We start from the raw sequence: 27,809 nt of genomic DNA, 5'->3' as shown, positions 1-27,809 counted from the left end.
CTAAAAATAGATTTTAAAAAAGCTATCACAGCTATCTGCGCCTTCCTTTCTCTTTTACATAAAAGAAAGAACTAGTCTGCAGAAAGAAGTCTGTGGCCGAAGTTATTAAGAAGTGCTTAGAACCTTACCTTTTAGCAGGTTAAAAATTTCAGGGATGATATTCTTGAGGAAGACCCACAAAACCCCTCTGCAAGTGTGTCTCCCCATGACCCAAAGGCAGGGAAGCCATCCCCAGCCCACATTCAGCACCCCACACACATTAAAATTGCTTCAACCAGGACAGGACAGTGCTGGCCGCCTCCAGCCGCACAGGGCCAGAAACAAAGGGCAATGGAGTTTCTTCTCTAAGTGAAGAACTAATTCCACTGCACAGAAGCTATTTAAGGAGGTGGTGCCTGTGGGACAAATGCTGCCTGGAGCCTTCCTGTTTGTGTCTCAGCTCAAACTTCCATCCATTTCCTAAGGAAGACTGCAAAGTGTAATCAGCCTCAAGAAGGCTGAGATTAATAGAAACCCAAGCAGTGTGTGAGGACAATTTTTACAGTTTTTCCTTCCTTCTTTTCTCCACTTAACAAATGTGGAGCTTTATTCAAAAGTCAAAAGCAAAAACCATAACTGTTGTGATTGCAAAAAGTTTTCCTATTCCCGAAAGATTTTTTTAACCTGAAATGTAGAAAGGAAAGAATTCATGGATGATTAATTCAGTAAATACCAAGCAGCAATGCAGAGAGAAACCACGCAACTTATGGTCAGAAGGCAAGGGTCTGGTTGAAAAAACTTTGCCATTTACTAGCTTTGAGCCCTTCTGAAATTCACAGATTCTCTTTGGGCCTCAGATTTTCCATCTGAATAAATGGCATTGATAATACGCACTTTGCAAAGCTATTATGAGAACTGCATAAGATGACTGTAAAAGACCCTATACTTGGCCCTCTATAAAAGATCATGCTATCATTATACCACATTATCTGATTTCCCAGCTGCTGTCACACAATATCAGACATTAGTAAAAGGAGCTAATTTATTTCTTCTCTTCTCTCCAAAATTACATTATGTATGCATCTGTTGCTTGTGTACTGTCTGACTTCCTCATTGGCACCTAGGTCACAGGTGGAACAGAAACTTCATTTGCTATGCTGATTTAACATTTCCAGTGCCAAGAACTGTTCCTGGCATACATTAACATACAATAAATATCTGCTAAATGAATAAATGGATAAATGCGTAATTTCAGACAAAGTACAACATTCTACACAAGGTAAAACTCAAACAAATACATATTTAATTAGTGAATGAATACAGGTGCTTCTTGACTTATGATGGAGTTATGTCCAGATAAAACCTTCACAATCCCAGCACTTTAGGAGGCTGAGGCGGGTGGATCACCTGAGGTCAGGAGTTCGAGACCAGCCTGGCCAACATGGTGAAAACCCATCTCTACTAATAATACAAAAATTAGCTGAGTGTGGTGATGCATGCCTATAATCCCAGCTACTCGGGAGGCTGAGGCAGGAGAATTGCTTGGACCCGGGAGGCGGAGGCAGATGTTGCAGTGAGCCGAGACCGTGCCATTGCACTCCAGCCTGGGCAACAAGAGCGAAACTCCGTCTCAAAAAAAAATAAAAAATAAAAAAAAATAAAACCCATCACAAATTGAAAATACTGTCAAATAAGTCAAAAATGCATTGAATAAACCCAACCTACAGAGCATCACAGCTCACCCTAGCCTACCATAAACGTGCTCATTATCTTACATTATCATATAGTTCGTTAAATCCTCTAACACAAAGCTTATTTTATAATAAAGTGTTGAATATCTCATATAATGTATTGAATACTGTACTGAAAGTGAAAAACAGAATGGTTGAATGGGTACTCCAAGTATGGTCTCTACAGAACACATGTCACTTTTGCACTATTGTAAAGTAAAAAGATCCTAAGTCGAACCATCCTAAGTCAGGAACTGTCTGTACCGTTTTTCTATAGAGAAACATCCCAGGGAAAATGCAATGTAGTAAACTTTAAGACAAGTTGGAGCTCCTGGAAACAAATGTAATAAATATGACCTTACATTCTGTTAGAGCACCCAGTTGAAACATACTATTAAGATGGTTAATGTACAAATGAAATTCATGGAGTGTGACTATTAGGTACAATATTTAGTATGAATTAATTCACTGAAACAATTTAGCTTAGTTTAGAGTATACCTAAAGTCCTTTTTTGGGCTTGTTTCCCTTAAAAATGAAAACTCCCCATTGTCCTTTAAGTCCTACCTTGGTGGCAGTGGGATTCATTAATGGTTTTGTGGGGTTTTATGGATTTGAGAGGATTTTGTATTGATACATAATATTTTACATATTTATGGGGTATATGTGATATTTTGTTACATGCATAGAATGTGTAATGATCAGCTCAGGGTATCTGAGGTATCTACTACTTTGAATTTTATCATTTGTATGTTTCCTCTCTTCCAGCTAGTCACCCTAACATGCTGTTGAACAACAGTCCTAACCTTTTATCTAACTACATAAAGAGCATTATCCAGACAAGGAAAATGACATGTGTTCTCTTGTGGTTTTTAAGATCCAACTACTAATGTTTAACATAAAAACGTACTAGGCAACAGGATAGTCTCAAGGATCAGAAACAACATATGGTATTTAGTGTTGGGCCTTCACATTATTGCTTGAATCCAGTTCAGGTCACTAAGGACCACAGATCAATTCCTTGATGAATGTTCATTAATTATGTGTAACGAAGGAAGTGACTTTAGTGGTTATTTGTCCATTTTATAAAATTACCAAGAGATGAAAGATCCTGAATCTCAAAAGATCATGTGGAACATAATTCCCTCTCACTTCTAAGGAACGCTCTTGCTTTGCTTGTGAAATACGAACCTCTCCCCATCTCTCTTCTTTTCCTCTCTACCCTCTCTTGGCTCCCACATTTTAGAGAGGACAAGAACTATCTTACTACAGATCTTTTTGTGAGCATTAATAATTGAAAATAAATATTTAGGCCAGGCACAGTGGCTTATAACTGTAATACCAGCACTTTAGGAGGCTGAGGCAGGGGGATTTAATTGAACTCAAGAGTTTGAGACCAGTCTGGACAACATAGTGAGATACCCCACTCATCTCTACAAAAAAATCTAAAAATTAGCCAGGTGTGGTGGTGCACACCCATAGTCCCAGCTATCCAGGAGGCTGGGGCAGGAGGATTGCTTGAGCCCAGGAGAACAAGGCTGCAGTGAGCCATGATCATACCACTGCACTCCAGGCTGGGTGACAGAGCAAAACCCTGTCTCAAAAATAAAAATAAAAATAAAACAAAACAAAAAAAGATTTAAAGTTGCTCACTCTGAATGAAGACATTTTAGTTCCAAAATATGGAGAAGAGTTTCATAATTATTGAACCTGAAGGTTACAGATTTGGGCTGATGAAAAAGAATCTCTAAGAACAGAGTATGGTCAAATAAAAACAAAACTGACTGACTTTCACAAGTCTTCATTCTCTTTATGTTTTTCTGAATTCAAGGTTTCAAACACTGGGGCAATATGGCTCCCCACCCCCCACCTCCCACACCTCTTCCCTCTCCCCTTCACTCAGCTGCCCAAGGGCTGGAGGCATTTTTTAATTGAATAATTAAAGATTCTAAAGAAGTCTGATATCGATTTTTTAACAGCTTCCAGCAGCCAGGCTTTCTCACCTTACAAGTAGCCTCTGGCTTGACAAATATCAGTCTATGTGGAGCAAGAGAGCTCAACTATAGAAGGTTATCAGATGTGGCTTAAATGCTGCCTGTGACGAGCATGTTTGATCCCAGGGGAAGGTGGGGATGAATTGTGGAAACTGCCATCCAAGAGTCAAGTCTTTTTTCTTCATCTAACGTAACAACACTTTGGAAGCACCCAAAAGCTCTGACATCCTACCCTGGGGATGCCAATGCACCGGTCAGCTTTTTCCTGTAGAATTGCTTTATTGCCCAGATTATTGACAGATTTAATCAAGACAGCACTGAGTATTTGGTTCACAAATGAAAGGATAACTTCAAGTTACTGATTACAGGGTCTTGTGCTATTTCTATCCTTATTTGAGCCCATATATCATATTTTAATAAATATTTATCTGATGCTACAGAAAACACAAAAATCAGTCTTGTAAGAGAAGATCATTTATGTCCATGACTAAAAGGAACAAATATCATAGAACACATTATCCCAAAGCCTGCAATTACTGCTTATGTACACTTTGCAACAAAACAAAAATGAATTTTTCCTTGCTGCCATCTGTTGTTTTATAGAAGGATAGCTAATTTCCTACCAGCTGATTCCAGTAACTATGATTTGTTAGGAATAAAATAAATAAGACGAAGTTACCTTGAAAGGAAAATATTCTCGATAAGGAAATATTTTGATGGCAAGTTAATTCTAAGAGTTTAGGGGTATTTGTTTTCCAAAATAAATAATAAAGGAGACATTTCCTCCCCCTTTTCTCTTTCCAAATTGCTGTGGGCAAGGGCCCTGATAAATGCCGTGAAGACACAAAATGTGTAAGTACAGGGTTCCTATTCTCAATCAATTCATAAACTACGAAGATAGACATAGAAATAGCTGTAGTACAAAGGTAGTGTGCAGTATAAGACAGAAAGATAACCTAATAGCAGGAATGTAGAGCACGAAATGAAAAGGACGTGGGTGCAAATCCTGGCTTTGGCACAACATAGGTGCATGATCTTGAGCAAATTTCTTAATCTTTCCAAGTCTCGCTTTCCTCGTGAATAAAATAGAGATCATACCAGTACCTACCTCATTGGGTCATAGTGAAAATTAAATGAGTTTATGAATGCAAATCCCTTAACAGAGTTCCTCGCTTTTGGAAGTCCTAAATGAATAGCATTGATGCAAAAGAAAAAGATTAAAGAATTATTTAAATTGCCATGGACATGCAAAGGAGAAAGAAAATTCACATCCATAAATGAAACGATAGACATGGAGCCCCAGTTAGGAAATTACTTTCTTGGAATAGTTTAGATGTACAGGTTGTCCCTGACTTATATTCCTTATGTGTGAAAGATGATTGGGAAACAGGACCTGGGAGGAGCAGGAGCCACAGCAACCCCTCAATCTCCCAGTTGTCAGACCCCCTTCCTATCTGGGATGCCAACTATGGTCCTGTGTCTAATATCAGCTTGTGTCAGTCCAGGGCACAATCAATGGCCCCGGAGTCTCTTCTCACCCTACCAAAAAGTTGCTTCTCTCTCAAATCTAAAGAGGGTCTGAAAGGCTACCTTAATGTCTAGAAGGAAACACCCAGAATATTTATAAAAGCTGAAATTGTTTCTGGCCATAAAGGATGAACTGATATTAGATTAGCCTTGCCACCATAAACAACTAGATAACTGCATAAACTACATAAAAAACTGTTTATAGACATTGGATAAGAGGAAGCACAACAGAAGATGTGATGCCTGAGAGAAAGGGAATGCTGAGTGAGTCCTACAGGCATCCCAGCTTTCCACCCGGATGAACCGCCCAGACCAGCAGCACAGCAAGGGGAAGCCAAGAACACTGGGGTCTCACTGAGTTAAGGGGACATGGAACAGAGTTCAGGGAGGCTAAGGCAGATGGAATTTGGAAGAAAAAGTATCTGACAGGAAGAAGTTATAGAGACAAAGAGCTCAATTAATCCATATGGGGGTCTCCTTGCATTTGTTGCTAAATATTAAGTCACTCATGTGCAGCGTCAACTTCATAGAGCAGCCCCTGACCCCCCAGAAAAGGATCTTCCATAAGTTAATCAATTCCCAGAGCTCCTAAAGGGCTGGGAGGCATTTGACTTTGGACCAATCAGAATAGAAAGTCTTTGTTGAGAACCTGGGGTTTTACTCAAAACCCCAGAAGTCTCTCACTTTAGTGAAACTAAATCAGCCTAAGTAAAGTCTACTCTAGACCTCCCTTAACAAAACTTTAAAAGAAAGGCAATAAAACCTTGCACTGAACAACAACAACAAAATAACAGTCCAGCATTAACTAAAAAACTACATATATGCAAAGAAGCAAGAAAATGAGGCTCAAAAACAGACTCAGAAATGACAGAGTCAAGGGTGGCGGAATTAGCACATAAGGACATAAAAAGAGAAATCATAAATATGCTCAACTATTTAAGGACTTAAAAAGAAAAATAAGAGGAGAGAAATGGGAGATAAGAAAATAAAACTTTCTGGAAATGAACAAAATATCTGAAATGAAAAATATACTAGATAGAATTATTAGCACATTAATCAACTGCAGAACAAGAGACCAATAAATTTGGAGACAAAATATGGAAAATACTCAAACTGAAACACACAGGGAACAAAAGTTTGGAAACATTGAATAGAGTCTGAGTGACCTATGGGATGACATGGAGTAGTCCAACATATGTGGTACTGGAGTGCTAGGATGGGGATTGGGACGGGGAACTGATTTAAAGAAATAGTGGCTGAAAATTTTCCAAGTTTGTTGAAAACTATAGATCACAGATTCAAGAAACTCAGTGAACTCGAAGAAAGATAACACAAAACCACAGACAGGCATATAATGATGTAATTGCTGAAAAACAGAGATAAAGAGAAAATATTGACAGCAGCAGAGTAGCAAAAAACAGACATATTACATACAGAAGAACAAAGATAAGAATAACTGCAAACTTCTTGTCAGGAACCACACAAGCTAAAAGTAGTAGAGCAACATCTTTAAAGTGTTAAAAGAAAGAAATGATCAACCTAAAATTCAATATCCAGTGAAGTTATCCTTCATAAAGGAAGACTAGATAAATACTTTTTTAGACAAACAAAAGCACAGAGCCAGCTAATCTGCACTAGAAAAAAAATACTAGAACATAAAGTTTTTCAAGCAGAAAGAAAATAATACCAGATGGAAACTTGGACCTCTACAAAAGAATAAAAATGTGGGGAATTGCAAATATATGGCTACATATAAAAGAAACTATTTTCTTATTTTGATTTCTTTAAAATAAAATTGACTGTATGAAACAAAAATGATAATGTATTTTAAGGTTTATGACATGTAATAAATAAAATATATGATAGCAGCAAAAAGGAGAGGAAGAAAAAATGAAAGCAAAGATCATAAGATTCTTACACAGGAAATGATAGTATTACTCAAAGGTGGAATGTGATAAGATAAAGTGTCATGTTGTAAACTCTGCAGCCATCACGAAAAATAATGAACAAAGAGCTAAAAGAGTAGAGATAAAATAAAATACTAAAAAAACCCCAGTAAAACTCAGGTAATATAAACGAGGGCCGGAAATGAGTGAGAAAAAGGGAAAAGAACAGATGGGATAAATAGTAAACATATAGCAAGATAGTAGACCAAACCCAAGCATATATGCTGTCTTCACACTTCAGAAAGACACAGGCACAGGAAAAGTAAAGGACGGACCAAGATATGACATGCAAGCGTTAATCATAAGAAAGTTGGGGTGGCCACATCATTCAGACAGGTAGATTTGTGCGGCAGCTTGGGTCCTGCATGAAGCAGTTGTCAATACTGAATCAGAAGCTCAGGAGATTTACTGCGGGGAAACAGCCATGAAAGATTAAGGTAAACAGGAGCCACACTGGGTATAGAAAAGCCTTCAAACATGACTGAAGATCTGAAACCTATGATCAGAGAAGGGGAAAAAGACTTGAGTAGGAAGAGTCTGGGACTTTTGGGTCCCCAAAAGTCTCAGCCAGGCCTACAGAGATCCCCCAGCAGAAACTGCCCATCAGAGGAGCTGGCATTGGCGCTGTATCAGCCCCGTTTAGTACCACGCTGTGCTCAGTCATGGGCCAGTGGCATCCTGGGGAGAGCAGAGCCACTACAGGAAGACTGGCAGGTCCTGAAGTGTGGCAACTGAGGCTGTGGGCTAAGTATTCCACTCTTTGGAAAGGAGGTCTCAGCAGCACAACTCTATGGCTATTACAACTTCAGAAAAAGAACTAGGACTAAAGACAAAGAGGGATATTTACTTATGATAAATTATTGAATTCATCAAGAAAACCTAATAATCCTAAATGAGTATGCCCTGAGACACAGTGCTTCAAAATATTTGAAGTAAAAACCCTTCAGAACTGAAAGGAGCGACACATGCACAATTATAGTTGGAGATTTCAACACTCTTCCCTCAGTAAGGGATAGGACAAGTAGACAGAACACCAGGAAAAATAAAGAAAACAAACAATAGCCTCAGCCAAATTCACTTAATGGATCTTTATAGACTACTTTCATCCCACACATTCTTTTTAGGTTCCCAGGGAACATCCCCAAGACAAATCATATGACAAGCCATAAAACAAGTCTCAAGAAATTTTAAAGGACTTAATTCATGCAAAGTATGTTCTTTGACCACAATGGAATTAAATTAGAAATTGATTTTTTTAATACCCAGAAAATCCCCAAAGATTGGAAATTAAGCAACACACTTTTAAATATCCTGAAAAGTCAAAGAAGAAATCCCAAGAGAAATTAGAAAATATTTTGAACTCAATAGTAAGAAAACGACAACAAACCAATATATATGGGATGCAGCTAAAGCAATCCTCAGAGGGAATTTTATAGCAATAAATGGTTATATTAAAATAGAAGAGAGATACAAAATCAATTATCTAAGCTTCCATCTTACGGAAGCTATTAAAAGAAGAGCATTAAATTAAGTCAAAAGTAAATAGAAGCAAATAAATAATTAAGATGAGCAAAAATCAATGAAACTGTAAGCAGGCAAACAATAGAAAAAAATTTTTAAAAAGCAGAGTTTGGAAAAGATAAGTAAAATTAATAAATTTATAGCTCAGCTTGAGCCAAAAATAGGCAGTGTTGGAAAGGAAAAAAAGAGCCGTGTACCTAAAAATCCTACAGATCACAAACAGAAAATAAGGGAATATTTTGAAGAATTCCATGCCAAGAAATTCAACAGCTTATATGAAATGGACAAATGCCTTGAAAGATAATTTATTAGAACTGACAGAAGAAGAAATGAGATCGACCCATATTTATTAAAGAAATTGAATTCATAATTTAAAACCTTCCCACAAAGAAAACTCCAAGCCCAGATGGCTTCACTAATATGCTATCAAACATTAAGGAAGAAACCAAACTTGCACAGAAAAGAGGTAAAAGGAACTCTTCTCAATTCATTGTAAGAAGCCAGGATTATAATGATACCAAAACCATCTGTACAAAGACATTACCAGAACAAAAACCTATGGACCAACATCGTTTACAAACATAGACACAGAAATCCTCAGCAAAACATTAGCAAATCAAATCTAGTATTAGCTTGTAACATCTTGTGTCTGACTGCTAAAGCCTGTAGCAATAATTATTGTTGAGTCTTTTTTTTTCCAGTGTAAGTCCTCTGTTGGAGATAAATACCTCAATTGTATTGGTCATTTGGTTTAAACTCAATAGTACAGGCCTTTTTGGTTAAGCGCGTTGTAAAGTAATGAAATAAAATGGCCAGACAGCAACTGCCCGTAATTTCTAACATTAGCGTTTTTTAGCACCAAGGTCAGAGTATAACATGCAGAAAGTCCAGCCATTGTTTTCAGGCTTGAATTGATCAATCATAGGGATAAGATGCAGAATAACCTTACAAGAGTTTTGATTGATTTGAATTCTAAAGCAGGCTTAAAAATGGAATCTCTCTTGGCTCGTTCACTGGCCTAACACACAGGTCATATCCAATCAGTCAGAGAACTGACTGCTGCCTCAGGGAGGCTGGCAGGCTTTCAGCTCCTGAAGAGGGGTTATTACAACAATGTCAGGGCCAACTTAGTCTCTGGCTGATGACTTCCCTGATTCTAGGGAGGAGCCATCTTCCTCTGAACTCTAACAACACTTTAAGCCTCTCTTGAGACATAGGGTGGTCCCTGCTCTTCCTCAGGGGATATGCTCCAAGACCCCTAGGCGATGCCTGAAACCTCGATAATGCCAAACCCTACATACACTATGGTTTTTCAATCTGATCATCAAGACAGTTACTAAAATGACTAATGGCAGGTAGTGTCACAGTGCTGATATGCTAATATTTCCTTTGATCTCTTTGGACGTGGGCTTATACACTAATATTCATGCACCCTGGATTGTAGGAAGTGCCTGTGAAATTCTAGAAAAGGTACCAATTCATGTTCTTTTTTCTAATACCAAGCAATTCAGTAATTGAGCTACTGCCCTTCATTTCACTGAAATTATTACCTCATTCTTTCATGTCTACGAGGACTCCTTCCATGGACAACTTCAAGTGTGTGAAATTAGATTTTATCATCCATATTTCAAATTTCTAAAGAAAGCTATTTTTTTCTTTAGTTTGATAGAAGAAAACAGCCAACTAGATTGTACAAATAAAGATTGGATATAGCATATTCTTGATAATTATTTCTCTGCTTTAATATTTTCTTTTTCTAAACCTAAATAAAGAGAACTGCAAAAACTGTGGAGAGAGAAGAGGGAGAAGCTCAGAGCGCTGTGCTCACTTAAGCCCTCTCCGCTGCACTTCGGCTCCTGTATCCTCCCTACCTAAAGAGCATTGCTGTTCTCCTTCCCCATCTATGGGCCAGGCGAGACTACTGGCAGCTCACTTGTCTCAGCACTGGAGCTGGGAGCACCCAGCACATATTTGTGGGACACACACTGTGCTGGACACTGGCTGATAGGTCAGTGAAAAAAATTCCAGACGTAGGCTTTGTGCTCCCGGAGTTTTGAGACTAGCAGAGAAGAAAATTAAACAAGTGTCTGCAGTAAAGTAGGATGACTGCTATGACACAGTAACAAGGCTAGTCTGGAAGTCAAACTCTAAAATGTGTGCAGGAATATTCTTCCTTGAAAAATAAGAACTGAGGAAAAAGATTGGGTCATCTGTACATGTCTGGCAACTCCTCTTTTCCCCAGTTTTCTAATTGGTAAATTTAGGATGATAAAATCATCTCTTGTGGCCAGGAGTGGTGGCTCATACTTGTAATCCAAGCACTTTGGGAAGCTGAGGTGGGAGGATCACTTGAGGTCAGGAGTTCGAGACCAGCCTGGCCAACGTGGTGAAACCCCATCTTTACTAAAAATACCAAAATTAGGCAGGCACGGTGGTGCATGCCTGTAGTCCCAGCTGCTCAGGAGGCTGAGGCAGGAGAATCGCTTGAGGCAGAAGTTGCAGTGAGCCGAGATCACGCCACTGCACTCCAGCCTGGGAGACAGTGCAAGACTCCATCTCAAAACAAACAAACAAACAAACAAACAACCATCCCTCTCATAAAGTTATTGTGAAAATTAAATGGGATGATACAAGGCCTGGTGAATGGTCAGTATAGTTTTGGTGTTGTTATGCCAATCAGAGGGCACCTGGCCTGGCCCAGAGAGTACCCCAGAAAACATTATTTCTATGCTCAGTCCTGAAGCAGGGAAGTGAATTCATTGTGCGTATATTACTCTGCTTGAGCTGCCATAACAAAACGTCACACACTGGATGGCTTAAGATTTTTTTTTTCTCACAGTTCTGGAAATTAAAAGTCTAAGATCAAGGTACTGACAGCGTTGGTTTCTCCTGAGGCCCCTCTCCTTGGCTCATAGATGGCTGTCTTCTCCCTGCATTCTCACTTAGTCTTCCCTCTGTCCTAATCTTCTCTTCATGTAAGGACACCAGTATGGGATACTAGATTAGGCCCTATTTTCACTTAATTAACTCTTTAAAGGCCCTATCTCTAAATATAGTCACATTCTGAGGTACTGGGGATTAGACTTCAACATATAAATTCTGGGGGCACACAGTTCATTTCATAAAAATGGGGGAGGCACAGCAGACTATTTCTAACAGAAGGAATATCGTGCGTGAATTGAAAGAGGATGCGTAGCATGTTGAAGGGGAAACTGAATGAAATTACATCCTTTTGCAGTATAGACTGAAAAAGAGAAACAGCAAAATTTGAAGCTAGAGAGGGAAGTGGTGGCAAACCAGGCCATGTAAAGCCTTATAAGGTGGTATAAAATATTAAGCAGTTCAGGTTACCCTAAGGGAAATGAAAACCATTATAGAATTTCAAGTAGGGTGTGTGTGTGTGGCATGGTTGAACTTGTATTTTAGAAAAATCACTGTCTGCATTATAAGAAACCTTTGGAGCAGGAGGTGCACCTGGGAGGCATCTGAAGTAAGACAAGCCAGAAAGGCTGACAGCTTGAGTCATGCCATGGCGATGTAATAAACTGACACACACTGGAAAGCTAATCAATGGGGTGATTGGTAGAGGGAAGGAGAAAAGGAGAATGATCCCTATGCTACCAGCAAATGGGTAAATAATGGTGAGCAGAGATGACAAAGTAAAAATTGGACTTGAGAAACCTGTGGAACTGCCTGTAGACCGCTGGTTATTGACAGCAACTACCCTTGCTATCTACCCTTCTTAAACCTTTCCTATATAACCACAGAGTGTGCCAACAACTCTATATTGTCATACATCTTCTTACAAATAAGGAAGCTCAGGCTTAATGAGATAACATAACTTGGCCAAAGGTTCACAGCTACAAAATGGCAAAGCTAAAAGAGGAATTGAGTCTTCCGAATTGCAGAGCCCAAGTTGAAAACCACTATTCAGGAAGGAGGCTGGGCTGAAGGTACATATTTGGAGGTCATTCGATCATTAACAATGCTTGGCTTGTTGGCTTTACTTCCCAATTCCCTCACTGACCACTGGCCCTTCCTGATTCTGATCCTTGGTCCTCATCCACATCTGTTAACAGATTATAATATGGCTGGGCAGCTGATGGTCCAAGCCTAGGGCCTAGGAGCCCAGATTCATGCTGTGGGTTCAGCAGTGGCAATGCCTGCCTCCATCAATACTGTTTCCTTCACTTAACACCGTGGGCTAGACTCCAAGATCTGTGAGATACGTGTGCACATAAGCAGCCTTTCCAACTTGTATTTGGGTGAATATCCAAGACCCAAGCTGAGGAACCAAAATTCCATGTTTACTAATGCACATGCCTTTAAAAACATTTTAATGTAATATACATGAAGAAAACAGAACAAACCATAAGTGGATTGCCTAATGAGTTTCCACAGACAGAATACACCTATGAAATGTCACTGAAATCAAGAAAAGAAGAGTAACTCAGGAGCTCGCCCCATGTTCCTTGCACTCACTACCTGCCCCTGCCCTCACCCCCACCCCCATCTCTAAGATGCTACTAACCTTACTTCTGATACCCCCAATTAGTGTTGCTTATTTTGTACAATATATAAAGGGAATCGTATAATATATATGCTGTTTTGTGTATGTTTACGTGCATTTTAAAGACTGAATTTAACTTGGAAAAATAAAAAAGTTTGTTGTATACAGAGACCTAAGTATAATACCACGATCTCATCTTCCCATATGCTAAGGACCCCTGATATGGATATATACAACTTCTACATTTGTATTCTGAATTACACCCAGGTAAAATCAGTAACATGAAATGAATCCAGGAAAGTACAAGGCCCATTTTTGTGTTTCCTCCTCTTGAAGAGATTGAGTCACTGACCCAGACTAACTGTAACAAATCCCTTCCAATGAATTAAAGATCAGAATGTAAAGTAATAGTAATGGTGATGGAGGTTTTAAAGGGAAAGCTCTATTGCAATAGCTAAATTGAGATAAGCTTTGGATAATAATAAATTTGACATCAATGCTAATTATTGCTTTATCAAAGCAATCCATTTTCTTAGTGAGAAATCTTTTACCTTGCTAAGGAACTGAAAGCTTCTGTAGAAAGTGTTTTGAATGTGTTGTAAAAACAACAGAACCATCAGTAAAAATAAACTTTTCTGCTAGTTTAAAAATTCTTTTAAAATAATTTCACAGAAGTCATGCATTTAAATTTCATTATTTTACTGTATGTCCATTATACTCTACTGTATAATTTTACAATGTACTTGGTGAATTCTGAGTTTGTTTCTTACCTGGACCTAAGAATTTCTTGGTGTGATGGGGATTGTAGTCTGGTTTGTAGGATAAGAGGATCTTGACTTTGAGAGTACTCCTACAAATTATACTTCTTTTGCTTTTTCTTCACAGCATCAGAAACTTACAATTTTTTTACTTGGAAAATGAAAATAATCATATTTGCAAATTTACTGTCACCAAACTTTTAAAGTGGCCCAATGTTTCTAAAGCGGAAAAAACCTATCTGTTCGCTGCACTTCTCCAAAACATGTAGTTTGTGTGTGTGTGTGTGTTTGAACTTACATAGGCAGGCATAGTTAGGATATAATTCCATGACAGAGAAGATTCACTTCATTATTTTAGCACATTGAATTCTTTGTTTGAACTCCTGCTGCAAATGTTTTGATCACAAGTTTCTCCTAAAATTCCTGATTACAATTTGATGTCCCTCTCCAAGAAAATAGCCAACAATTAGCATAGCCTTCTTGTTGAATCAAACAAGGTTCTGATACCTATCTAAATGAAGTGCCTTCTGAAAAAGGAATCAACCACCTGTGACCACAGTTTTTAAACACAGTGGGAAGCGGAGACTTGGGGTGAAATTTAAAGTCACGTTATTCTTTAGCAGGGGAACTCTGCAGCTGGGCATAAGAGCCTAGTTTCTCTGTTATTCTTTCATAGTTTTTCAAGATAAGATAGGAATCTGAAAGTGTTCCAATTTTAGCTACTATTTACCTTTTGTTTTTGCTATTCTAATTTCCAAATAGATGTGCTGTAGATTTCAATTTCTTCACTCATTTAATACTGATGTTCCATAAGCATATCCAGCGTATTTTAAATTCTTAACCTATTAGGTGCAGGGCTTAAGCTCTAAATATACATTTTAAAACGAACCAACCATATTTTATGCAGCATAACTCTGAATAAAATTAGTAGCACTTAAAAACAAATTAAAGAACCACCAAAATGAAGGTAAGTCCCTGTAACTTTACATGCTACAGAAAAGATATGAAATAATAAAAACTACATCTAAACACAGGCGTTTATTGATCATAGAATGTTCTAAGTGAAAAGCAGAATTTCCTTATTCATTTCTAGGCTTGCCTTTTGATTACACTTTACTTTTTGAAAAGCCCAGTTTTTTCCCCAAATTTTCCTACCAACTCTTTAATAAAACATTCTGAAATTTGAGTAACTGTGTCTAAAAGGATTTGAGATTAAGAACTAAATCCCCAGCTGCCAGTATATCTGAATTTGCCTCCTTTCCAACTATATGTAAGGTATCAACGGTGAAATAATGCCTATAAGAAAACACAGTAAGCATCTAAAAGGAAAAGCCCACTCCATACATACTAAGTATTAAATTTAAATTGATTTTAAACAAGGATTTTATTCAAATTTAATTTTACTGTGTCATATGTGATTAAGTATGATTTTTAAAGCTCATTAATAAAAATCTGTTTAATAGAGCAACAAGTTCCACATTATTTCACAACAAATCTAAAGCAGTACTATGCCATTCCTGACTCTTACAATAAATAAATCACTATTTCCTGATTTGCCTTTGATCTTCTCTAATTGAAGACCACAATTCTCATTTATCTGAGATAATAAGTGAATAGATAGAGAAAAAAATCATAAATACCATAAAACCTTATTTTCAGGTCTGTCTACCTACAAATGTTTAACTAGACCAAGCAGCTAGGAGGAAAACTGGACAATTTGTATTTCTCACCCTTTCCCTTCTGGTTTTCTGGTGCAATGTTAAAAGACAAGCAAGTGGCTGGGCAAAGTGGCTCACGCCTGTAATCCCAGCACTTTGGGAAGCCGAGGTGGGCGGATCACCCGAGGTCAGGAGTTCGAGACCAGCCTGGCTAACATGGAGACACCCCATCTCTGCTAAAATTACGAAAATTAGCCAGGCTTAGTGGTGCGTGCTTGCAATCCCAGCTACTCGGGAGGCTGCAGCTGGAGAATCATTTGAACTCGGGAGGCAGAAGTTTCAGTGAGCCGAGATCATGCCACCGCACTCGCCTGAGCGACTTTGTTTCAAAAAAAAAAAAGACAAGCAAGCACCAGACTCCAGAGCAGAATCTCTGCCCTAAACCGAAGCAAAAAAGGACAGTCTTAGTTATGCTTTACGGCTTTTAACAAGTTCCCCGGCCCCTCACCCATTGCTCATCTGATGGTTTTATTATAGTATGTTTGCCACAGGAATTTCTCACTTGGATTATCCTAAATAATATTGCTAGCAAACCTACAACTCCATGCAGTGACACAGGTCAAAAGAATTCCTCAGGCATCAGTTTGTTTCCCAAACCTTTCACCAATAAACTTGGGAAATAGCTATTTAATACAGCACAAAAAAGGACTTAGTGGTACTTGGAAAATGGCTCTCAGAGCCAAAAATTTATAGCTCGGCTTAGGAATGCTGAGGCCAAGTCTCAGGGAAACCATGCTGTCTTTTGACTGGGCAGATAATCTAAGGGCAGAGCTCATTTATCTTCTGGGGCAGTGCTGTGTGAGCTTGATCCATACTCCTGCTTGTGTGCCTTGAACAACTAACTCTGTGTTCAATGCTTTATTCTACTGGATGCTGGAAAGACCCTTGACTCCACCAGATTTTTAAAGAATTTACCAAAGTTGCTGAAAACACTGGATATTTGGTCTGTTTCTGTGTCTTTGATGTCACACGTCCCATTAACTTTGCAATGATGGAGAGGAGGACATAGGGAGAAAGAGATAACAAAATTTTGGAAACATATATACACTTGTCACTGCTTAATTCTTAATTCAATAGGATAGGTAAGCTAGAACATTGACCACGACTTCAAATGCTCCTTTTACCAAATCTGTATGGATTTTATTTCTCTAAGAAAGTAACATCATAATGACTGTAAAATCCTGGCTTTGTATTAATCGTCGGTATGTTCCTAGAATTCCTACTTCAGATACGTTCCTTTCAATATGTAAAGCTGGTCAAGCTTCTGTTCTCATTTATCTCTGCCTCTGACCCATCTTTCTAGAGACATTTTGGTTCTTTTGCTTTATTTCATTTGTTTCCCTTCTTTCTCTAAACACTGCCCTGCCCCCTATTTTCCTACATATCTCTGCGAATGTCTAATAGGGTTTTCTCCTGTTTTCCAAACTTCACCATGTGAAATAATGGCTTATTACACTAACCAGTTTCCATGTTTCCAAAAAATACTGCTGTTTGCCATTTGTGATAACTATTAAGCAGGTCATATTCTTTGCAAACGGTTAGAAAGAGTATTTTCTTGATTTTTTAAGTAATGCTCTTTACTGTCAAGACCCAAGTGTGATGGTTAATATTAAGTGTCAACTTGATAGGATTGAAGGATGCAAAGTATTTTTCCTGGTGCGTCTGTGAGGGTGTTGCCAAAAGAGATTAAGATTTGAGTCAGTGGACTGAAAGAGGCAGACCCACCCTCAACGTGGGTGGGCACCATCCAATCAACTGCCAGCGCAGCTAGCATAAAGCAGGCAGAAGAAGGTGGGAGCAGTGGACTTGCAGAGTCTTGTGGTCTTCATCTTTCTCCCATGCTGGATGCTTCCTGCCCTTGAACGTTAGATTCCAAGTTCTTTGGCTTTTGGACTCTTGGACTCACACCAGTGGCTCTCAGACTTTGGCCAAAGACTGAAGGCTGCACTGTCGGCTTCCCTACTTTTGAGATTTTGGGCTCGGACTGAGCCACTACTGCCTTCCTTGCTCCTCATGGTATTTCACCTTGTGATTGTGTGAGTCAATTCTCCTTAATAAACTCCCTTTCATATATACATATATCCTATTCGTTCTGTCCTTCTAGAAAACCCTGACTATACACCAAATAACAAACATTTTTTCAATGTAAATGAATCCTTCAGTTTTGATTAAATCATCATGATCAATAATTTGTATATTAAGAAATCAACCTCCACATTTATTAGGTTTGGAAGATCCCCCTTCTATGTGGTATCTTATTCTTCTAACATAAGCTGAAGTAGAAAGGATATTTTCTGATACGTTATTTCTGTGAGAGTTACTTTCCTTATTCAATTTGGATTTTTACACCTGAAAGGGATGGAGATGGAATAGGAAGAGAGGGAAGGGAAAGAGGACAGGAAATGATCATTCAAAGGACTGTGCAAAAAAAGAACAGTGCGCCCTGAGAATATAATAAAAGAATAGTTGGCTCTTCCATAGATCTATATTGCAGTCATCATTCTAAGGTCTTTACTTAATGTTTTTAATTCTCACAATAAATCTGTGAGATTAATACTATTACTATCCCCAGGGAGGAAACAGCCACTGTGGCTAAATAACCTGCCCAAGTTCCCACAGTCAGTAGAAGAGCCAGGATCCCAATCCAACAGTCTGGCTCCAAGGACTCCTACCCTTCCCCATAGATTTGTTTCTTTCAAAGCTAACGGAGTTGATTATTTCAATACTGATGAGACTGAAAGTGAAATAACAGTGACTTATAACCAAAATGCCCTGATTCTTTTGTGATTCTATATATGAACCAAAATATTTGAGACCTATATATTGATTTAATTGATATTTTGGTGTTTATTGATATAAAAGAAATTGCTCAAATGCTGGTCAGCAATGATACTCATTAGAAAACATAGAATACTACATTTTATGGTATTTGGACTCAGGCATAAGATGACCACATGTTCTGGTTTGCTCAGAAAACCCCAGGTTATACCTGCTGTCCAGGCATAATTGTTAAGTTCACTCTCAAAATTGTCTCATTTTGAATAATAAAATATACAGTTGTCTTACTTAGGCACAACCAGTGCAACTGGCACAAGTCAATTTAATAATTTAAATAATTACTGGTTTTCATATGGTTTTAATAATTCTGATGCTTTCATTTCCTCATCCTAAAATCAATTGTTCTGACCATCATGAGCTTGACAATGCTTTTCCCCGTTTCTCCTTTTTCTGCCTCTTCCTGCCTTTAAACACTTCATTTCCCTCTAGTCCTTTTGCCAAATCACTGGCTCTCCTGCTTCAGTGCCTTCTAGTCTATTATAACCACCCTAATGGCATTTATATCCTTAAGGATTCCATTGTCACTTTTTGGAAAGGAGCCACTACTCAACTTCACTCTCTCACGTTATGTTTCCCATATTGCCTTTGACTCATCACTTGCCTTAGGAGATCTAGGCTTTTTCCATATCACATTAAAATTCTTCCAAAAATTTACTTTCTTTTTTTGCTTTAAGACAGAGTCTCACTCTGTCACCCAAGCTGGAGTGCAGTGGCGCGATCTCGGCTCACTGCAGCCTCTGCCTCCTGGGTTCAAGTGATTCTTGTGCCTCAGCTTCCCAAGTAGCTGGGATTACAGACAAGTAGCTGGGATTACAGTAGCTAGGTGTACCACCACACCTAGCTAATTTTTTTGTATTTTTGGTAGAGACGAGGTTTCACCATGTTGGCCAAGCTGGTCTCGAACTCCTGACCTCAGGTGATCCACCTGCCTTGGCTTCCCAAAGTGCTGGGATTATAAGCATGACCCACTACTCCCCGCCAATTTACTTTCTTTTAGTCCCCTTACACAAACCCCCTGACCTCCTTACCCTTGGATCAAATTCATTTATTCACTCAGACATATAGTCTACTTGGGAAACTTAGCTGGCAAATTCAGGTTCCCAGGTCCAGGGCTTCATTTCACAATATTACTTATGAAGATCCTTGGGAAATTGACCTGCAGAATGAATGGAGAAAATTCCTGTCCTATCTCTGCAAAAGAACAGTTTACATATGCCCTGAAGCATTAAGTTTCATTACTTTACCCTTATCTCAGTCCACCAAATTATGGATGCTGGAGGGCACAGTTGGTCACTAGTTCTGGAAAGCTACTTCATGCCATCGGTGAATTAGTATCAGGGAGACAACTGCCAACTCTATCCTACTCCGTGATTTGAGAATTTTGACAATGCTCTCCCTTTCTTAGCCAGCATGGATTCTTAAAATCTTAGTATTTAAATTTATCCTGCTTATGATACCCAGTATAGAGCTGTATTCCCTTCTTCTAGTACGATTTAACAACATTAAATGGCTCTACTTATCCAAATACAGTTTAATCTCATGATGATAATGACATATCATTAATGGGTTTGCCATAATAGTTGTTGGATTTGTGGTACCGTTTGGAAGAAACTGCAATAAGGACTGAAGACCACATTTAATAGAAAGAAGTAAATATCACTAAAGATTTAAGGAAAGTAATTACAGCTGCAGAGTCACATGGCCAAAAATAAATTATATATTCCACTCTACGATAATGTTTTAAACAGTATTCTTCCTACCTGCTACCTTGTTATTTCATGCAAATGGTCATATTTGAGATAAGTAGACTTTAAGAACAAATGAAATAATTGCAGAAATCAATTGTATAATATATTTTAGAGCTATTGATGTAATACTGAAGAAGAAATGTGCTAGTGCAGACCAGAATTTGAGCAAATCCTAGTCACAAAAAGTTAGCATGGCTCTGTGTGTCAGCTTTACAATTAGATTCCTTTAAGAATTTCAGCAACCTCTTCTGTCTCTTATGGGCAGAGGCCATATTTACTAAGACAAAAATTGGTATGCGAGGGGTAAAGTGTTTGAAGATGAAACGCTACTAGAGAATCGGAACATACAGTAGCTACGCCTCTGGAAGACCATCAGAACTCAAACTTTAAAAACAGTGGCAAACATAAAATGCCTCAACCAATTCAATCTAATTTCACCAAATATTATCTTTTCATTTAATTTGGAAAATACCCACTTTATTAAGAATAATCTTTAAACATCAAATTCAAATTTCACACTATGTGAGGTTATATATATTATGTTCTTCAAAGTGTGGTCTGCATTTATAGAATAAACTGAAACTTTCTTGTATGCTACAGAGTAAATCATAAGATTGCATTAACTCTGTGAATCACACACACACAGATAGCAGACAAAGAAGAAAAAATACAGTTGATCTCAATTTGATCTCAAGAAAACACAGTATCTGTTCTTATTGTCACTTTGCATTCGATAAAATAGGAATATCCAAAAAAAATTTAAAGACTAATTTGAAGAAATTTCTTTTTAGACAAGAGCAGTGGCTCTCATCTCAAACTAATTTTCCTACTTTAAGCTTTTGCAATTACAATATTGTCCTGAAAATAAGCAGACATTATTTAATAGTCTCTTTCAACAACTCTTCCCTTAAAAAAATACAAAATAAATCCATTGGTACCATTTCAAACTGGGTCCCTAAATATTACAAATCCCTTTATTCTCTCCCTCCTCGCAAATTACATCTAGTCTAGACCCAGAATCACTCAACTAAGCAACATTTCTGTAAGATACAAAACCCTCTGATTTATTAGGAAAAGCTTGAGGGTCTATTAATACTTCATTAAAACCCCTACGTAGTATTTATAGCAACAACAGAAAAAAAAAAGTATTGCCAATTAGTGGGTAAAAAATGAAAGCAAATAAAATGCTTATGAACATATAAAGCAAAAACATAAACCCATGACTTGGTGCAACGATACTAGCTTAATTTCTTAGAAGCCCAAACTTCTGCATTCCTGAACTGTGACCAGGGGTGGTCAGAGAGTGCTGAGCGGAACAAAAGGCCTCACTGTCACTGGTCCATACTCTTAAGCTGAGAGAAGGAAAAGCCTGCTGTGTCACACAGCACTCCCAGGCAAGAACTGACTTTGAGCCTGAGAAGCTTCCAGAGCCCAATTCACAGCATTCCTTAGACATGGTCTTTCTCATGCAGAGGCTGAGGTGGATTTAGCACTTCGTGGTTTTGCTGAGACTGGAATCTTTGTTATTCTCCATGAGGTTTGCACTGAAGACACAAATGATCTCAAATTTAGACACAAAAAGATTGTGAGAGACCAAGTTAGAGAAAGAGAACCAAGAAAAAGCTTGTAAGAAATTTTAAAGTGAAGCGCTAGACGTTTATTGACTTGTGAGGACAGTGATGCAATCAGAACAGGCAGGAAGGTCTGTTTTGCTTCATTGTTTTGATTTGGGTCTGAGTTCCCAATAATTTATAATAATGCTCACATTCTGTTGAAACAGCTCCAGAAATTGTGTTTATAGAACTCAATAGTGGAAAGAATTCCATTGGTCCTATTCGTGTCTTTTATCTGAGAGTAGCAATGAGGATTAATAAAAAACACGGCTCAGTAGAAACCTTATTAGTCTACCAAGGGTGAATGGGCATTGGCCAATTTGTAAAGGGAGCTAAAATTAAATTCTTAATATAATCTAATGTCAATTAAGTGCATATAATAATGACCACCTTGAAAATTATTTAATAGTTAAAATATAATCAAATTACTCTGTTCTACAAGTGTAGCTTCCTTTACTTTCTAATTAAACATTATTTTATGAATTTGAATTTCCCAGATGCCTGGAATTTTTTTTTTTAAGTTTTGTAAGCAAGGCTTCAAAAACGGAAGGTACTTTGCTATTTCTTATAATAGAAAAATTGGCTTCTTGTCTTAGCAATCACCAATTATGTTTATAACCCTAGGAAATTTCAAGGACAGAAAATCAAGTTAAATCAGAAAAGAAAATTATACAGCAAATGTTATGGCTTACACAATTACAAAGAGACAGCACTATTTTATTTTGTGATCTATGACGCTGCTAGCAGGGAGCAACTGCTGTTGCCAGGGCTGGCAGTTCACTCTAGGGGTGGACACCCCCGTAGAGAACCAGTTTGTATGTGCCCACAAGTGGGACAATATTTTCTTCTTGTTGATGCAATTAGCACAGAGAATTTTGCCTTTCTATACTCCAGCTCCAATAATATCAATTTCCATGTATATTCCTCATGGCCATCATTTTCCAGTCTTTAAAATTATGTTTTCTGATCCCTTCTAAATCATCCTAAGTCACTGAGCCCTAAATTAAGATGCTGCACTTTAACAAGAGACAAATTATTAATACCTCCAAGAAGAGCGATGGCCTCACAATGAGGTCATGGAAACTCCAGTTTCACAGTTGAAAAACAAAAGCATTTCCTTTCTCTTTCACCTCTTGGGATTTTTTTTTTTTCTTTACAAGAGATAAAAATCTGACAAAGGGAAAATATTAGGAGCTGGCTATGTGGAACCTGACGTAGATTAACATTTCTCTGTGTTTCTTTGGTGTATCATTTTCTATGTTTCATTGAAAAATTTAAAAAATTGTCTTCTCTGAAAAATTTTAAGCAGTCAGTTATTTTGTTTTTCAATTAAAAAAAATCATACATTGCCTCCCTCTCTCTATTCCATAAATATTTCTAGGGTACGTTGCTAGGTACTGAGATCAGAAAGATAAACCCTGACTTCTGCTTTCAGGGAGGCTGCAGTCCAGTGCAGGGGTAGGGGTCAGCTACAGAGGAGTAACATCATAATTACCTTTGGAAATAATAAATTTATGGCTCTAACTGGCCCAGGTTTTACTGGTAGCATAAAGGAAATAATCTAGACCCAGATTGGAAGAAAACACGAAAAGGTACTAAGGAAGGCTTTCTAGATAATGTCAAGTGCTATGTTTTAAATATGTCCCTTAAATTTTATGTGATGAAAAGTTAATCCCCAAATTCATGTGTTGGTGATATTTGGAGGTAGAGCCTTAGAAGGGTAATTAGGATTAGGTAAGGTAATCAGGGTGGGCCTCCACGATGGGACTGTGGCTTTATAAGAAGAAGAGAGACCTGAGCTGGCACACTCTTTCCCTCTCACCATGTGATGTCCTCCACCATCTTGTGACACAGCACAAAGGCCCTGGCCATACACAGCACCAAGCACTTGGACTTCCCAGCCTCTAGAATCATGAGCTAAACAAACTTATTTTCTTTATACAGTATCCAGTCTTTGACATTCTTTTATAGAAACAGGAAACAGACTAACACAGTAACATATGACCCAATCTCCAAGGACTATAGTACTTACCAGGTGAAGATTGGGGAAGAGGCTCTTCAGGCAAAGGAAGTAGGATGTATAGAAAGGGAACAGAGTGTGATGGCTAAGAGGCATGAGCTGTATTGTGGAATGTATATTTTACCACAATTTTTAAAAAGCAACAGCAGCAGCATTGGGTTTTAGGCTGACATTACCATACTTCACTTGGGCCGATTAGTTACCCTGTATCTCAGTTTCTAAATCTGTAAAATTAGAAGCAAAAAAACACCTACCTCATAGGAGTAAACCCTAGGGGCTTTAATACATGTAAAGCATTTGGAATAGTGCTTGCTTTATAGGAAGCACTCAGTAGATGTTAGCAATTAATACCACGCACACAGACCCAGAGACACGTGAGAGTAGGCACCCAGTAAGGCATGGGAGTTTAAGTTGCCTTCTCCAAAAGGAAAAGTCCAATAGACAGAAGGAAGGAACCAGAAAAGAAAACTGAGTTGGAGATCATCACAAATGCCATTTTGAAGATACCCCTTTTTCCTTCTTGGAATCCTCACTGAACTTTAAATGTACACTGAGGGTATATTTTTGAAGCTACCTACACTTTACTATTTGAGAATAACCTGTCAGTGAAAATTAATTATGTTCTAATTTTTAATTTTAAAATAGAACACTCATTTTCATTAAAATACTCCTTTTCAAAGGGCAGACTGATTATATTACTACTCTAAATATGTCATCTATACCAAGGCCTGAGAAAGAGTACAATCCTGAATCTATGGATGCTAAGCATTCCCCAAAAATCTGTTTTTGCATACATATAAGCTATCTCTCGCTCTGTGGATAGAGTGATGCTATACTCTAATGCCACATATTATATGGAAGGAATGGTAAGAATACAATGTGAAAAAGCATGATGAGATCTTCCCATTTAAAAAAATGGTATAGAAATGTTAGAACATTGGAGACTTGAGTTGATTAACATCTCACCTTCTTCATTTGAAAAATAAGGTTAGATGTTTTCTATGGGTCCTTGGGGCTCAAATGTCCTATAAACTGATTGCTGGACAGGTTATATGCAATCAAAGCAGACTATAAAACCCTGGGTAAAGGAAAATATCTCTCCAGTCCAGCATTTTGTCAAACAATACTACCAAGGAATATTTGTAGGAGAGAGAGTAATATCTGGCTTTTACATTTCTAACTTTCCTATAAGATATGCTATTAATTTGCTACCTATAATTTTAGCTAGCCTTTCTTGAATTTCTATTTTTAGTATACTATGGCCTACTGAATGGATAACATACAAACAGATCAGATCACTTGTTTGCACTGATTGACTTTTAGCTCAAACATTTTTGTCTAATGTTATGATTTTGACTTTTAGCTCAAACATTTTTGTCTAATGTTGTTATGATTATATTGGTCAGAGATGTGCTAGAAGCTTTATCTCCAACCTTAGAATGAGGATAAGCAAATATGCATAAACATATTGCATGCATAAACATTTACATAAACAAATATGTTTTGCCTCCATCTTGACACACAAGACTAGTGACTGACGGTCTCCTGTGCAGATCACACAGCCACAGGGGAATGCAAGGAAGGCACTAGAAACACAGACCAAACTCCCATTTAGGAAATGGGCCACAAACTGTGGATGTGAGGGTTTAAAAAAGGATTAATTTCCCTTGTTTTCCTATTAGTCAACAATTTGTATAATTTCCAGTAAACATGTGGGAAATACTGAAAGACTTTGGTTTCCTCTCTGTCTTCCTTGAGAAATGACTAGAAGACAGTACCTTCTTGGGCCCTGACCTTGTTAAATGTTGATTGCCAACATTTTTCACTTCTGAAAACAGAAACATCCTATTCATATGGTATTTTCTGGTATGCCCAGAGTCCTCCCAGCCTCTCCTCCATCAGCTTTCTCACATCAGCCAGAAACATCCAAGCCACAGAAGTTGCCCATCATGGCAATGCTGCCCAGAAGTGTCCTGATTCAAGGAGACAACACAGATGGCAGCCTCCAACACAGCAGTCACTCGAGCCAGGCCCTATTTTAGCCATGTGCTATTTTTATACTGAACTTGCCCTATACTTGTTCAAAGCTAATCTCTATGTACCAGAGAAACACTCTTAATACTGTGAGAGCTCTCTCCAGGTATACAATATAGTCATGGTATCTATAAATGTAAAGATACCCTGGATGTAAAAGTTTCCCGGAATAGGTATTGATGCAGTAACTGGTTCGTTGAACCGAATATTTGTTGATTTAGGTTGAATCTTGTTTGGGAATGTGGAGATTTCTATTCTAGGGGTGGTGTCATTCCAGGAAGGCAGAAAATCTCTAACTGGATCTCCTTCACCACTTTCACAGCAAACGGTGCATTCCACAGCACCTGTGGCCATGAGCTTGAATGCAGATGACCAGGTTTGAGATGGCCTCCACAATATGCTCTGTTATTAGTAATATTTTTGCATTCACATAATTACTAAAATGCCTAAGGCAAGCCAGTGTTTCATTAGTGTCGAGTTAAAGCCTTCCCCCTCTGCTTACCCCATGTGCCTTTGGTGCACAACACTGGATACCCAGCTGGATCATCCAACCACAAGCCAAGGTAAACACAGAAAGTGTGAGTCACTGGGGGTAAGAGCTATGTATGTCTCTACTAAATGTGAAGTCCGAATACTGGCACTCTGGCTGAACCACTATGATTCCAGCATATGTTTATGATTAGTAGCTATTAAATCAGCTACTTCCAATGTGTAAAGTAGTTTCTACCAGTTATTTGGGTATTTTTTCTGTGGGGAAGCATGAACTCTTCAAGAGCACTAAAAGAATTTTTTGCTTGAGTCTGATTCTTTCAAAATCAATGCTTTAATATTTAATTCAATATTTTAATTACTTCAATAGACTATATGGCATCTATAGAGTTGAAGACACCCTCCCAAAGTGAGGCACTTTTATTAACTTATTTTAACTGCTTTGGCTGAAACAACTGACATCTCTTTGACAACTGGTCTGTTGAGCCAATCCCATCCCACAAATTAAACCCTGCCAAACATATCTACAAAAACTATCACTACTTCCCTTGCCAATCTCTAAATACATCCAACCTGAATTATTGACTGAATTATTGACTCCCTCTCCCTACCGTCTACCTTCATCTATAGACCAATATACACACATCACACCATATCCACATGTCCAACTCAAGTATCATGTCCTCCATGAAGCAAACCCTGTTTCCTCTTTAGAGGATACAGTACTAAACAAGAAATGGTTCCCAGTTCTCCTGGGCTCCAATATAAGCTCCTCAAGCACAGGAACTCTGTCTTGATTAGCTTTGCTCTTTCATGGTGGCTTCAAGAGAAGATATTTGATTAATGTTTGCTAAAAAAAAAAAAAAAAGAAAATAAATGGATGAATGAACTGAATATCAGAGAATCTAGAGGTCTCTATTTTCTCAGTTAAAATTATTTATTATTCATTCATCATACATATATAATTTTAAAACAGACTTAGACAAAGTGTTCAATATACAGTGCTGTTTTTTGTTTCATTAATCAATCTACTTGCCAAATGTATAACTCTCATCCTTTCTTGGCTGACCCCTGGTTAAGTTTTCAGAACACTACCACATGAATTCCTATATCCGTTTCTCTCTCTTTCTCTTTCTCTTTTATTCCTTTAAAACACATGAGCTAAGACAGTTTCTCCAAATGTCAACATGACACTATATTTGAAGTAATGTGACTCATATCCATCAGAATCTGTTAAAGACTGAATTGTCTGGACTCTTCACTGATTCCTTGTGACCTTGAAAAGTTACTACTCTGAGACTCAGTGTTTTCACTTAAAAATGAGAGATTGTAACAGGTGCAACCCCAGGTTCCTTTCAGCTTTCTGTATTCTGGAAAACTAATTCT

General features: G+C 38.0%; 1 protein-coding gene across 10 annotated transcripts in view, besides 2 other annotated features; it reads right to left on the bottom strand.

Moving 5' to 3' along the window:
* ARHGAP28 (Rho GTPase activating protein 28) overlaps positions 1-27,809 on the bottom strand; it is a 186,001-nt gene that overhangs the window by 141,354 nt on the left and 16,838 nt on the right. For 2 of the 10 annotated variants that reach the window (XM_047437797.1, XM_047437798.1), the window contains exon 1: positions 129-354. The exons of the other annotated variants lie outside the window; for them this stretch is intronic. The gene's annotated coding sequence lies outside the window, so the exon portion shown is untranslated. Of the gene's footprint in view, positions 1-128; positions 355-27,809 lie in introns of those variants that run through there. 10 annotated transcript variants of the gene reach the window in all.
* Positions 21,250-21,825: an enhancer, noted in NCBI's record as "OCT4-NANOG-H3K27ac hESC enhancer chr18:6752537-6753112 (GRCh37/hg19 assembly coordinates)". NCBI's record gives its function as "activates a minimal SCP1, AML or CMV promoter by ChIP-STARR-seq in primed H9 embryonic stem cells {active_cell/tissue: H9 hESC(primed)}" and the evidence as "EXISTENCE:reporter gene assay evidence [ECO:0000049][PMID:30033119]".
* Positions 21,826-22,401: an enhancer, noted in NCBI's record as "OCT4-NANOG-H3K27ac hESC enhancer chr18:6751961-6752536 (GRCh37/hg19 assembly coordinates)". NCBI's record gives its function as "activates a minimal SCP1, AML or CMV promoter by ChIP-STARR-seq in primed H9 embryonic stem cells {active_cell/tissue: H9 hESC(primed)}" and the evidence as "EXISTENCE:reporter gene assay evidence [ECO:0000049][PMID:30033119]".

This window comes from Homo sapiens, chromosome 18 (genome assembly GCF_000001405.40).
Source record: "Homo sapiens chromosome 18, GRCh38.p14 Primary Assembly".
NCBI classification, from domain to species: domain Eukaryota; kingdom Metazoa; phylum Chordata; class Mammalia; order Primates; family Hominidae; genus Homo; species Homo sapiens.
This window is presented reverse-complemented; position numbering and strand designations above follow the sequence as displayed.